Source organism: Homo sapiens, chromosome 6, assembly GCF_000001405.40.
Source record: "Homo sapiens chromosome 6, GRCh38.p14 Primary Assembly".
Taxonomy (NCBI): Eukaryota; Metazoa; Chordata; class Mammalia; order Primates; family Hominidae; genus Homo; species Homo sapiens.
Window position 1 is genome coordinate 53546307 of NC_000006.12, and position 13663 is coordinate 53559969.

A 13663-nucleotide genomic window follows, 5' to 3' on the forward strand; every position below is an offset into this window, starting at 1 on the left:
CAGGTGGGATAGAAATCAAACCACATTCTAATTTTTCCACAGCCTTTTCAACAACCTCCTTTGCCCTCCCACCAACCTCACCAGATCTGTATATGGTTCTGGCACTCTGTTGTTTTTCCTGCTTGAAATTCTCCATCTGACACACTCATGTTCATCTCTTGAGTCACAGTTATTCCTCTCTGTGTTTTGGTTGCATTCGTACATTAATGATAGAGTCATTTTAAAGATAGCTCCACACTAAATAGTGAATTCCTCTGGGGCACAGATGACTTATGCCTTTTGTACCTTTAATTCTAGAAAAGTGCTTGGTATAGAGTGTGTGCTTAATAAATGTTAGCTTCTCCGTGAAAAGCAGGTAGTGGGAGAGGGGGAGAAACAGTGTTTCCCATGTAGGTAAGACATCCAAGGATCATTGGGTTATTCTCATAATGTCATCTGACATTCTCATAGACCTGCATTGTTCAACACGACAGCCATCAGCCACATTGGCCAATGTACATTTGAAATGTGGCTAACATGACCGAGAAACCAAATTTTCATTTTAATTTAATCAATTTAAATGTAAATTTAAAAACTGATATTCCATTCAGTTACTGGAAAACTTTTAAGTAAATTTGAAACAAGTTGGAAATGTGAATCCATTTTTGACTGTAAATTTTATGAAATGTAATTACAGATCAAGTATTTCCAATGAAAACTTAGTGGCCCAGATGTGTTGTGAGTGTAAGTCACACACCAGATTCTAAGACAGTAGAATAAAAAGATGTAAATATCTCATTAAAAGTTTTATATTGATTACATAGCGATATAGCATTTTGGAAATTTTGAGTTAAATATGATGTGGTATGTTATTTAATTTACCACCACCCCCACCCACTTTTATTTTTAATTTTAAAGGAGGCTACTGAAAAATTTAAGATTACATATGTGGCTCTCATTCCACTTTATTGAAACAGTACTGATGTAGACCTTGATTTACACTTTGCAAAGCAGTTTTCCCATACACCTGCTGCACACCATACACTTTTCCCATGCACCTGTTAGGAATCATGGACCTGGGCGGTTCAATAATAGACTAAATTCTAGTCTAGCCAAAGCCCTACGCGACACTGAACCTAGTAAGAGTTTAACACTGTAATTGGAGTTACTCTGTCCTAGATCCCGGCTCACACTCACATAAGGGACCTCCCTCACCCTATCCTACCCCCCCGAATTCTGAACCAGCTCCCCCAGCGGGGGTCCCAGAGCTTTGGACAATCCCAAAAAGGGCGCCGGCGCTGCTGCACCACAGGGCAGTTATGCCCAATTTAAACCTTGATCTCTCAGTGTCTTTAGCCTTTTCTGTTACAAAGAAAAAACAAAAATCCCATCACGGATCAACTGAAGTCATATTTAACAAGAGTTACTCCCCTCTGACAATGCTTTGCCTGCATAGGTCCACTACTGCTCGATTTCATTCTGTAGACTGCACCCAGGGCCAGGTTTCGACATCTGGAAGTGAGTTTTCAGCAGACAGCTCCATCAGGGCTGTAACGATAGCTGAAGGGGAAAGAAGGAGCTCATATCTTGCAGAATCAGCTCTTCCCTAGACCATGACCAAAGGCCGATTCCCAGTAGTGTCTTCCGCGGAAAAACGCGAGACCCGCTCTCCAGGAACCCATCTCTGCCCAGCGGCGCCCTGGCACCGCAACCTCGCCTCGCAGCCCCGCGGACCAACACAGGCCCCGCCCCCAGAGCCGTCCGGAAAACCTGGACCGTGGAGATCCGCATGGGGGGACGCCGTGCAGTCGTGAGGCCAAGCTGAGCATGCTCGGAGAGCCGGCCTGTCGCGGGAGGAAGCGGTGTGGGCCGCGGGCGGCGCACGCCGCGCAGTTGTTGTGATACAGCCCCCGCCACGTGACTGCGCGGGCCCGCCTCCCCCGCGCGCGGCACCGCCTCCCCGTGACTCAGCGCTTTGTGCGGGCTCCGAGCCGGAGGTCAATCTGGGGGAGGCTTCTTAGGGCAAAGTCTCAGTCCATCACTCCTGACCTCTGGGCTGCTGCTGCTGCTAGGATTGCCGCAGTCGTTTCAGACACGATGGGTTTCGGGCCTCCAAGGACCAAAAAATACATCATTTTCTCTGTGGTCACGCCATTCCCAGTTTCCCTTGAGTCAGCGGCTTCGCGAGATCAAATAAGGAAAACAGAGAGAGTGCCCAGGGGACTCTGAGGAAGGCACTTCTAGGTTATCTGCCCCTGCCTTTACCGCTCTCTTTGGCTTGAGTATCCCTTGACCTTGGTGGTCTGTCGCTTGGGTCCCAGTATATCACATTCTATGCCAGGCACTTTGAGCTGGTATCCGTAAAACAGTACTAATCTTTGCCACATTTTATAAGTGAGGCAACTGAGATCCAGTAATACTAAGTAACAGGTAGTGGCTAAGCTGGGGTTTGAACTCCAGTGATATTTCAAAGCTGTCTACTACACCACTTAGCCTGGGTGAAGCTGGTGGCTGCCTTCAGTGTGATTCTTCCTGGGACTTGATGCCAACCTTCATTACATCCTTTCTTCTCCCTTGACACACCCTTTCCCCAAAACCCGCGGATCTGCCTGTGAAGTCCTTAAGCTTTTTGTCTGTTAAATTTCTTTCTTTTTTTTTTTTTTTTGAGATGGAGTCTCGCTCTGTCGCCCAGGCTGGAGTGCAGTGGCGGGATCTCGGCTCACTGCAAGCTCCGCCTCCCGGGTTCACGCCATTCTCCTGCCTCAGCCTCCCAAGTAGCTGGGACTACAGGCGCCCGCCACTATGCCCGGCTAATTTTTTGTATTTTTAGTAGAGACGGGGTTTTACCGTTTTAGCCGGGATGGTCTCGATCTCCTGACCTCGTGATCCGCCCGCCTCGGCCTCCCAATGTTAAATTTCTTAATTGGTGAAAACAAATAGTTAGTTATTTCTTAACTTCAGTGTACATGTTAAACAACAAAAGATACAGAAGGAATTTTCTCCCTACAATTGAATTGTACTTGGAATTTGACTTGATCTTATTCAAGAAGATCCCTGGGGGCTTTATGATGGAAGAGCAGTAGCCAAAAGACTGGGGCTTTGGCCCCATCTCAGAGGGCTACCTGCTGGGTCAATCTAAGCAAAGTTGTGATAATCATTGGAGAGTCCTTTCCTCTCATCTGTACAAATGAGAGTCTGGAGGAGATAAAGTTTCCCTTCCAGCCTAAACATTTTCTGATGTTATTACTAAAATTAGTTGAAAGAGTTCAAATCTTTTTGTATCGTGTACTATTTGTAATACATGCTGCTGAGGTGTGCTATTGTCATTGTCAAAAAAGCAAGGAAACTCTTTTGACCTTTTCCAAGCCAATTTTTAGTTTACATGGATTTTTGAAAAATATAAATGTGCTTGTTTTCATGTAGAGTTACAAAAGGTCTGTGAAGTTCAAGTGAAGAACTTTTTTAACATGGAGAAGTTTGAGTGTGCTAAAGAAGATGGGTAGGCATCAAAAGGGGGCAAGATTGAAGATGTGGGAACAAGAAAGGATATTTTCAGAAGCAAAATGTCTCAGGAGACCTGACTTGTTGGGATCCAGAACACATGGGAAGTGGTGAGCTTTTTTTCCTAGAAAAATCTCATTGTCTTCTTATAGAAGATAAAGACGCCATGATAATGTGTTGGGACAGGGCGAGTGATATCTGAGTCCTGTAGACTCACTCTTCTCACTGGAGAATAATTAAAGATAACTTTTTATTATGGACATTTCCAATAAAGCACAAAAGTTGAGAGAACATAGTATAATGGCTCTTCATGTACTTTTTTCTTTTTTTTTTTGAGACGGGAGTCTTGCTCTGTCACCCAGGCTGGAGTGCAGTGGCATGATCTTGGCTCACTGCAACCTCCACCTCCTGGGTTCAAGCAATTCTCCTGCCTCAGCCTCCCGAGTAGCTGGGACTACAGGCGCCTGCCACCACGCCGGGCTAATTTTTGTATTTTCAGTAGAGACGGGGTTTCACCGTTAGCCAGGGTGGTCTTGAACTCCTGACGTCAGGTAATCTGCCAGCCTTGGCCTCCCAAAGTGCTGGGATTACATGTGTGAGCCACTGTGCCTGGCCCTAGTTTTTGTATTTTTGGTAGAGATGGGGTTTTGCCATATTGGCCAGGTTGATCTCAAACTCCTGACCTCAGGTGATCCGCCTGCCTTGGCCTCCCAAAGTGCTGGGATTACAGGCATGAGCCATGGTGCCCACCTCTTCATGTACTTATTATTCATCTTTGTATGTTACAGTTACTTACCTCCTCCCATTAGTTTAAAGGAAATCTCACTCAAGTCTGATCTCAGGACCTGAGCTCTAAGTGAAGGTTGAAGAAAGAAAGAGGAATGTAGAAGATGAGGTTTGAGCAGCTGATATGGGAGGTGATCTAGAAAGATGGAAAATAATGAGCAATACCCTAATATCCGTAAACCAAAAATAAAATTCTAAGCCCTCCAACTACCTGAATGGACCACTCCTCTAGGCCAAGAACATTCTAAAGTAAACCTGAGGCCAGGCGCAGTGACTCACACCTGTAATCCCACCACTTTGGGAGGCCAAGGCAGGCAGATCACCTGGGGTCAGGAGTTCAAGACCAGCCTGGCCAACACAGCGAAACCCCGTCTCTACTTAAAATACAAAAATTAGCCAGGTGTGGTGGCATGCACCAGTAATCCCAGCTACTTGGGAGGCTGAGGTGGGAGAATCACTTGAACAGGGAGGCGGAGGTTGCAATGAACCAAAATCACGCCACTGCATTCCAGACTGGGTGACAGAGTGAGACTCCGTCTCAAAAAAAATAAAAAATAAATTAAAAAAAAGTAAACCTGAAATATGAAACACTACTTCAGGCCATGATGGAATAGGTGATCAGACATGCCTAATTATAACATCCTCCCTTTGGATTTCAGGCACAGCTGACCAGCATTAACATTGAAACAGACCTGAAGACTGACTAAACAGGTTCTTTGGAACAATAAAATACCAACATGATGGATAATAGGCCCTGAAGAAATCAAGTATTTTATCTTAAAATACAGTTCTTTGACATATTTTGAAATGGCCCTGCAAAGCTGTTTCTTGTGGGGAAAATCTACATCCTGTAGAGAATCCCCTTCCCTTTCCAGGTCTTTTTCCTGATCCAGAAGAGAATTAACGGAGTCTGGCACCTTTTTAAGTCTCCCAACAAACATTTACAGTCTATTCTCTTTGAAGCCTGCTACCTGGAGGCTTCATCTGTATAATAAGAACCTTGGTCTCCACAACTCCTTAGTTAACCCAGACACTCCCTTCTATCGATTCTAGGTCCTTAGGTAAACTCAACCAATTGCCATTCAGAAAACCTTTGAATCCACCTATTCAAATATTAGCGGGGACCTGGAACTGACCCTCTGATACGGTTTGGCTGCGTCCCCACCCAAATCTCAACTTGAATTGTATCTCCCAGAATTCCCACCTGTTTTGAGAGGGACCCACGAGGAGGTAGTTGAATCATGGGGGCTGGTCTTTCCTGTGCTATTCTCACGATAGTGAATAAGTCTCACAAGATCTGATGGGTTTATCAGAGGTTTCCCCTTTTGCTTCTTCCTCATTTTCTCTTGCTACCACGCTGTAAGAAGTGCCTTTCACCTCCCACCGTGATTCTAAGGCCCTCCCAGCCATGTGGAACTGTAAGTCCAGTTAAACCTCTTTTTTTTTTCCAGTCTCAGTTATGTTTTTATCAGCAGTGTGAAGATGGACTAATACAGTAAATTGGTACCAGTAGAGTGGTGTGTTGCTGAAAAGATACCTGAAAAGGTAGAATCAACATTGGAACTGGGTAACAGGCAGAGGTTGGAACAGTTTGGAGGGCTCAGAAGAAGACAGGAAAATGTGGGAAAGTTTGGAGCTTCCTAGAGACTTGTTGAATGGCTTTGCCCAACATGCTGACATGTTGACAATAATGACAGCTGACAATAATGTCCATGCTGAGGTGGTCTCAGATGGAGATGAGAAACTTGTTGGGAACTGGAGTAAAAGTGACTCTTGTTACGTTTTAGCAAAGAGACTGGTGGCATCGTGCCCCTGCCCTAGAGATTTGTGGAACTTTGAACTTGAGAAAGATGATTTAGGATACCTGGTGGAAGAAATTTCTAAGCAGCAAAGCATTCAATAAGTGACTTGGGTACTGTTAAAGTTTTATAAGGGAAGCAGATCATAAAAGTTTGGAAAATTTGCAGGTTGACTATGTGATAGAAAAGAAAAAACCATCTTCTGGGGAGAAATTCAAGCTGGTGTCAGAAATTTGCATAAGTAGCAAGGAGCCTAATGTTAATCCCCGAGACCATGGGGAAAATGTCTCCAGGCCATGTCAGAGACCTTCATGGCAGCCCCTTCCACCATAGGCCTGGAGGCCCAGGAGAAAAAAGTGGTTTTGTGGGCCAGGCCCAGGGTCTCCGTGCTGTGTGCAGCCCAGGGACTTGGTGCCCTGTGTCCCAGTCACTCCAGCCATGATTGAAAGGGGCCAACATACAGCTCAGGCTGTGGCTTCAGAGGGTGGAAGCCCCAAGCCTTGGCAGCTTCCATGTGGTGTTGAGCCTATAGGTGCACAGAAATCAAGAATTGAGGTTTGGTAACCTCCACCTAGATTTCAGATGTATGAAAACGCCTGGATGCCCAGGCAAAAGTTTGCTGCACAGGCAGGGGCTTCATGGAATACCTCTGCTAGGGCAGAGCAGAAGGGAAATGTGGAGTTTAGAGCCCCCACACAGAGTCCCTAATGGAGCACTGCCTAGTGGAGCTGTGAGAAGAGGGCCACCGTCCTCCAGATCCCAGGATGGTAGATCCACTGACAGCTTGCACCATGCACCTGGAAAAGCCGCAGACACTCAATGCCAGCCTGTGAAAACAGCTGGGAGGGAGGCTGTACCCTGCAAAGCCACCGGGGCAGAGCTGCCCAAGACCATGGGAACCCACCTCTTCCATCAGCATGACCTGAATGTGAGACCTGGAGTCAAAGGATATCATTTTGGAACTTTAAAATTTGACTGCTCCACTGGATTTCGGACTTGCATGGGCCCTGTAACCCCTTTGTTTTGGCTAATTTCTCCCATTTGGAATGGCTGTATTTACCCAATACCTGTACCCCCATTTTATCTAGGAAGTAACTAGCTTGCTTTCGGTTTTACAGGCTCATAAGCAGAAGGGACTTGCCTCGTCTCAGATGAGACTTTGGACTGTGGACTTTTGGGTTAATTCTGAAATGAGTTAAGACTTTGGGGGACTGTTGGGAAGGCATGATTAGTTTTGAAATGTGAGGACATGAGATTTGGAGGGGCTAGGGGTGGAATGACATGTTTTGGCTGTGTCCCCACCCAAATCTCAACTTGAATTGTATCTTCCAAAATTCACACCTGTTTTGGGAGGGACCCAGGGGGAAGTAATTGAATCATGCTGGCTGGTCTTTCCCATGCTATTCTCGTGATGGTGAATAAGTCTCATGAGATGTGATGGGTTTATCAGGGGTTTCTGCTTTTGCTTCCTCCTCGTTTTCTTTGGCTGCCACCATGTAAGAAGTGCCTTTCACCTCCCACCATGATTCTGAGGCCTCCCTAGCCATGTGAAACTGTAAGTTCAATTAAATCTCTTTTTCTTCCCAGTCTCAGGTATATGTTTATCAGCAGCGTGAAAATGGACTAATACAGCCCCCTCACCCCGAGTTGTCTCATGTTTCCCAAGTTGTCTCACATTTTCAGGGCATGTTTCTGGACTGAACCACCATCTTTCATGTACTGATGTCTTACATCCACCTAAAATGTATGATACCAAACTATATGTAGCCCGACCACCTTGGGCACATGTTCTCAGGATCACCTGGGGTTGTGTCACAGCCCATGACCACTCATATTTGGCTCAAAATAAATGTCTTCAACTATTTTATAGAGTTTGACTCTTTTTGTTGACATATCTTACTGGAAACCAATTTCTGTCATTCTAAATTTGGAGATGGTAGATCTTATCCAGTTTTTTCACTCCAAATTATCCAGCTATTGTTCCAAATTATGGGGCTTTGTATTTAAAAACAAAACCCAAAGCCAGAAAAACATGCTTGTCGCATATAGTATAAATGATTTGACAATGGCTGTGCATGGGTGATTAATATTGCTAAAATAGGCCAAGTGTCAAAATGTGAGTAAGATTGCTAAGGCATGTATTTACCTTTTTAAAGATATCTGATCTTAGTCTCTGCCTTTTTTCTTCCATTTCATTCACCTTAGTTCACATAAATATATGTAAAGTTCATTCTAGATTAGATAACACCAAATAATTGAACTTTGGCGCACTATAACCTATCATTCATGGATGATGAGATGTGAAAAAGTGTTAGCCATAATTACATCTATGTAGAAAGGCAATTGTACTGAATAATTGAGCAATTTTGCTTCGATAAGACCAGTTCCTAAAAGCAAAAAAAAAAAAAAAAATATATTGTACTTCCCGAAAGTATTTTTTCTCATACAATACCTCCTGCCACTTATTTTAGTACTTAAACTTTAATGTAGTAAGTACCTTAAGGAAAAAATTCAACTCACCTAAAAACTTATCTTACAATACACAGGACATCCCACAACAAGAATTGTCCTACTCTAAATGTCAGTAGTATCAAGTTTGAGACACTCCTCTATATGTTGTGAAAGGATAATAAATCTCGAGACCTCCAAAGCACTAAGCCAAGGGAAAAATCAAGCTGGAAACGATGTCAGGCAAACCTGCCTGCATCTCATTTTATTCCTAAATAAAATAGCTACAAAGATAAAAGGCTACATACCTCCCTCACAATTTGCCTACAAGGAATTTCCTTGTGGACAAGGGATAGACAGAAATCAAAGTCATCCTTCTGAGGCTCATCTGAGACAAATGCATATCTGATTGCTTCCTCTGCCATATTGTTTATATAAAAATGCAGATTCACTGAGCCAGACTAAATTGTGTATTCGGTGAAAGGCTGGTCAAAGACTCAAAGGAATCCCCCTCTGCTCCCCCCAACCCTGTGTGCCTTACTGGACTGAACCAAGGTACATCTTACACATAATGATTGATATCTCCTGTCTCCCTAAAACAAATAAAAGCAAGCTGTACCCCAACTACCCTGGGCACAAGTCATCAGGACCTCCTGAGACTGTGTCACAGGTATGTCCTTAACCTTGGCAAAATAAACTTTCTAAATTGACTGTGACCCGTCTCAGATATTTGGGGTTCACAATGTATTACGATGAACTCTATTACACGAATGCTTGTCTTTAAATATTTGCAAGGGTTTCCAAGATGGTCAAAAAGAATAGTTGAGAAGAACTGAACATTTACAATGGTTAGTGTCATTTTATTTGCAATTATCACAGGCACAAATATGTATATATAGTCACCTAGTGTACTCCTCTCTAATGTGCTGATGGAGCCTGTGATGGGAGGGGTTAGGGCTCTTTCTTAATCCTGTTTCTGTTTCTCTTGTGGCCAGTTACTTGTGAAAGGAAAATGAATCTTGGGGCCCCAAAATCACTAAGCTAAAGGGAAAAGTCAAGCAGGGAACTGTTTAGGGCAAACCTGCCTCCCATTCCATCCAAAGTCATCCCTCTGCTCACTGAGATAATGGGTATCTGATTGCCTCCTTTGGAAAGGCTAATCAGAAACTCAAAGGAATGCCATCATTTGTCTTTCACCTACATGTGACCTGGAAGCCCCCTCCTTGCTTGAATTGTCCCACCTCACCAGACAGAACCAGTGTACATCTTACATATATTGATTGATGTCTCATGTCTCCCTAAAATGCATAAAAACAAGCTGTGCCCCAACCACCTTGGGCACATGTTGTCATGACCTCCTGAGACTGTGTCATGGGTACCCATCCTCAACCTTGGCAAAATAAACTTTCTAAATTAACTGACACCTGTCTCAGATATTCAGGGTTCACATTTTGGCAACCATGAAGGGATTCTGAGTGTTTGTGCCACTGACATTTGACAAATCTCCTATCAGTGCCTGGTACCAGCTCGAGCTAGCTTTATGGCTCAAACCAATAGGACAATTTGCTGAAGCCTGCAAGCACCCCCTCCAGAGAATCCCTGATTTCCCAAAATGTGGTTGAGATCTAAAGTTTATTTTGTTGTACAACTTCCTTTGGAGTTTTACTTGCTTCCAGTACAAGGCAAATTTTTCCGGCTTCCATGAAGATTGAAGATAGGTAACTCCTTTATAGAGTTTCAGCTTGCTTCCAAGAGAAGCCAAATTTGAGATTTTTCCTGCTTCTAGGATGGTAGAGAGCAGTCTTCAGCTTGGGACTCATCCCTAAGTAAGTAACTGAATTGGGGTTTGTTTTGGCTAAAGTTAATATGAACAACTAGCTGGTCTTAATTTCTCCTTACCATTAGAACACTCAGTAATTTTACAAGTTGTGCCATTGTTTTTTGGCTTAACTGCTTTTTTGTTGTTGTTTGTTTCTGTTTTTGTTGTTGTTTCAGTCTTTTTCCCATTGGGTTTGATCAAACTATCTGACTTGATCAAATCTGAAGGAAAGTTCCAAATTATGAGGAATAAGGCCTCTGAAGTGGCTAAATTCTCACAAAAGAAAAGAGAAAAGAAAAAAGGTGGAGTGGTGGAGGGAGAAAAATGGCCAGCAAAAGAAAAAAAAAATATTTTTGATTTTGACTACTTAAGGGGCTTTCTTTACATAGCAAGGCCACCTCTTTGCTTGCCAGGCCAAACTGAAAGAGCAATGGCTGTTGCCCTACACTGCAGTTCCATAGCTAAGGGTTCTGCCATCTTTTTTTTTTCACCACAACAGCCTGATTTTGGTTCCTAAATCAAGCCCTTTCTGGTTTGATACTTGGTACTTCTGCAATAGCAGCAATTTGTGTGTGTGTGTGTGTGTGTGGGTGTTTGTATTTAAAAGGACATCATGGTTTGTTTGTTTTTCTCCTAGGACTTCCTCTCTTTTTTTGAGCAAAAGATTTTTTCTTCTCAGTTGGCTGAATTCTGTTTTCTTCATTTACTTCTGCTGTCTCTCCTTTCTCTTGCACCCTCTGCCGCATGAGGGGCCTAAAATAGTTTATAGTAGCCTGGGGTTCCTTAAGGAAAATGGAGAAGGCACCAGACTCCCTATTGGGGAGAAACCCATTTTTCATTATGGAACTCCAAGAGTGTAAACAGACAACTTGTATCAGCTCTTAAACTGCTTGCGTTTGTATTGTGTTACCTGATTTATTGACTAAAATAGGTATTGCAACAGAGGCTACTCTTCAGTTTTTAAGGAAGAGTGTAATTTAGACACTTTGAAATGTCTTTGCTTAAAAACAATTGTTTTAAGTGCACTGCAAAAGCATTACATGGTCTAGCCTCATAATAATTCTCCCTTTTTGGAGACCCAGGATTCAGTGTGGGCTCTGCCCAGATTTCAGAGATCTAGGCAAAAAAGAAATAATCCCTATATGAATAAAATTGGTCTCCTCATACAATCCCATGATAGAGTTCTATAATTTTATGTTTGATTTGGCATCCATCTTTATTCTCCCTCTAGCACCACTAGACTTTTTCTGTCTGTACCTTGAGATATAAATTTTGCTATCTGATTTTTCATCTAAGAGTTGTTTCCTTCAATATGCAGGTTTAGGGCTATTTAGCTGACAACTGCCAGGTTAATGAAACAGGTTATCATGAGTTTGCAAGTCTAAGACAGGGGAAAACAAAAGGAGGTCTTAGGAATCTATAAGATGTACTTCTATCAGTATGCCTAATACATCTATGTATCTATGTGTTATGTACACGTTTCACTACTAAAAACATATAAAAGAGCTGTAATTAATTGGCTTGCAGAAAAATAAAGGTGCTTAAATCCAATGCTTTATCAGAGAAAAGAAAAGACTAGCCAAATGCTTTTTCAAGTTTATGTGATTTAAGTAAAATCTTTAATAAATAAGCTAGCTTTAAAATTACTGGCAAAGTAATATTAGAAATGTCTTAAGAATTGCCAGCATACATTTTCGTTTGCATTTATGGATCAAGTCATTTCATATTTATCCCTGCCAAATACTGTAAGGTGTCAAAGTTTGGCATAGGGTTACAAAACTATAAACCCAGCCTAAAACAGAATGATTTTTGTTTGTGTTAATTTTTAATAAATAAGACATTGATATTGGTTTAATGAAAATAGCTACATCTTGAATTATTTAGTAAAATTACTGTAACTTCTAATCTTGTGGCCTTAGGGAGTCTAGTCCACAGGCAATAAGGTTTCTTTTGGGAAATGACTGTTATCATCTTTGTTTCAAAGCTAAACCAAACTAAGTTCCTCCCACAGTCAGTTCGGCCTATGCCCAGGAATGAACAAGGATAGTTTGGAGGTTAGCGGCAAGAGGGAGTCAGTTAGGTCATATCTTTTTCACTGTGTCAATTATAATTTTGCAATGGTGAGTTTCATAACTTTAAATGATGACTATCATAGTTTTCATAAATAATCTAGGTAAACAATTAAAATAATTAGGTAAATGTAATGGGATAAATACTTATAGATAAACTTGTCATAATTTAGAATCTAAGGTTGCATTAAATTAAATAATGGATATTTCATTATTTGGGTATTTTACAATGAAAATATATTATAGGAAAATATTTTTTCTAAAAAACAAAATGTGTCCTTTTTAAAAGGTGAACAATTTTTGTCTAATTCAAAGCTTATTTTAAGGTTATATATAAAACAAGATAAAAGAAACCAGGAAATGAGGCAGATGTAAAGAAAGTTGCAGAAATAAAAGGTATTTTTTGCTAAGAAAGCTCAAAGAGAAATAATTTTATATGAGAAAGAATCTTGTATGGTAAATTTATTCTGGAATAAGATGACGGGTTGTTTAAGAAAGAGGGATGTTCAGGACAAACCAGAAAGTCCAAGCATGTCATGAATGATCTGTGTAAGTCACAATAAGAGGATTTATTTAAAAAAAAAAACTTTCAGCCGGGCACGGTGGCTCACACCTGTAATCCCAGCACTTTGGGAGGCCGAGGCAGGTGGATCACCTGAGGTCAGGAGTTCAAGACCAGCCTGGCCAACATGGCAAAACCTCATCTCTACTAAAAAATACAAAAAAATTAGCCAGGTGTGGTGTCAGGTGCCTATAATCCCAGATACGCAGAAGGTTGAGGCAGGGAGAATTGCTTGAACCCGTGAGGTGGAGGTTGCAGTGAGCCAAGATTGCGCCACTGCATGCCAGCCTGGGTGACAGAGTGAGAGTCTGTCTCAAAACAAAACAAAACAAAACAAAACAAAACTTTTATATGATCAAGTTGTATATGATTAAAGGGAAATTATAATGGTCTTTCTAGAAATTGGGTTTGATGTAAAAAAACACACTTACACATTAAAGAATTGATTAGAACAATAAAAGTTTCTTAGGGGATTGATTTACTCTTTTTCTTTATTTTTCCGAGACAGATTCTTGCTCTGTCACTCAGGCTGGAGTGCAGTGGCGCATTATCGGCTCACTACAACCTCCGCCTCCCAGGTTTAAGCAATTCTCCTGCCTCAGCCTCTCGAGTAGCTGGGATTACAGGCATCTGCCACCACGCCTGGCTAATTTTTGTAATTTTAGTAGAGACGGGGTTTCACCACATTGGCCAGGCTGGT

The 13663-nt window shown here is 42.1% G+C and overlaps 1 annotated feature.

The window, feature by feature from the left end:
* Window positions 1836-2065: a silencer, noted in NCBI's record as "silent region_17292". NCBI's record gives its function as "represses an Ori minimal core promoter by ATAC-STARR-seq in GM12878 lymphoblastoid cells {active_cell/tissue: GM12878}" and the evidence as "EXISTENCE:reporter gene assay evidence [ECO:0000049][PMID:35858748]".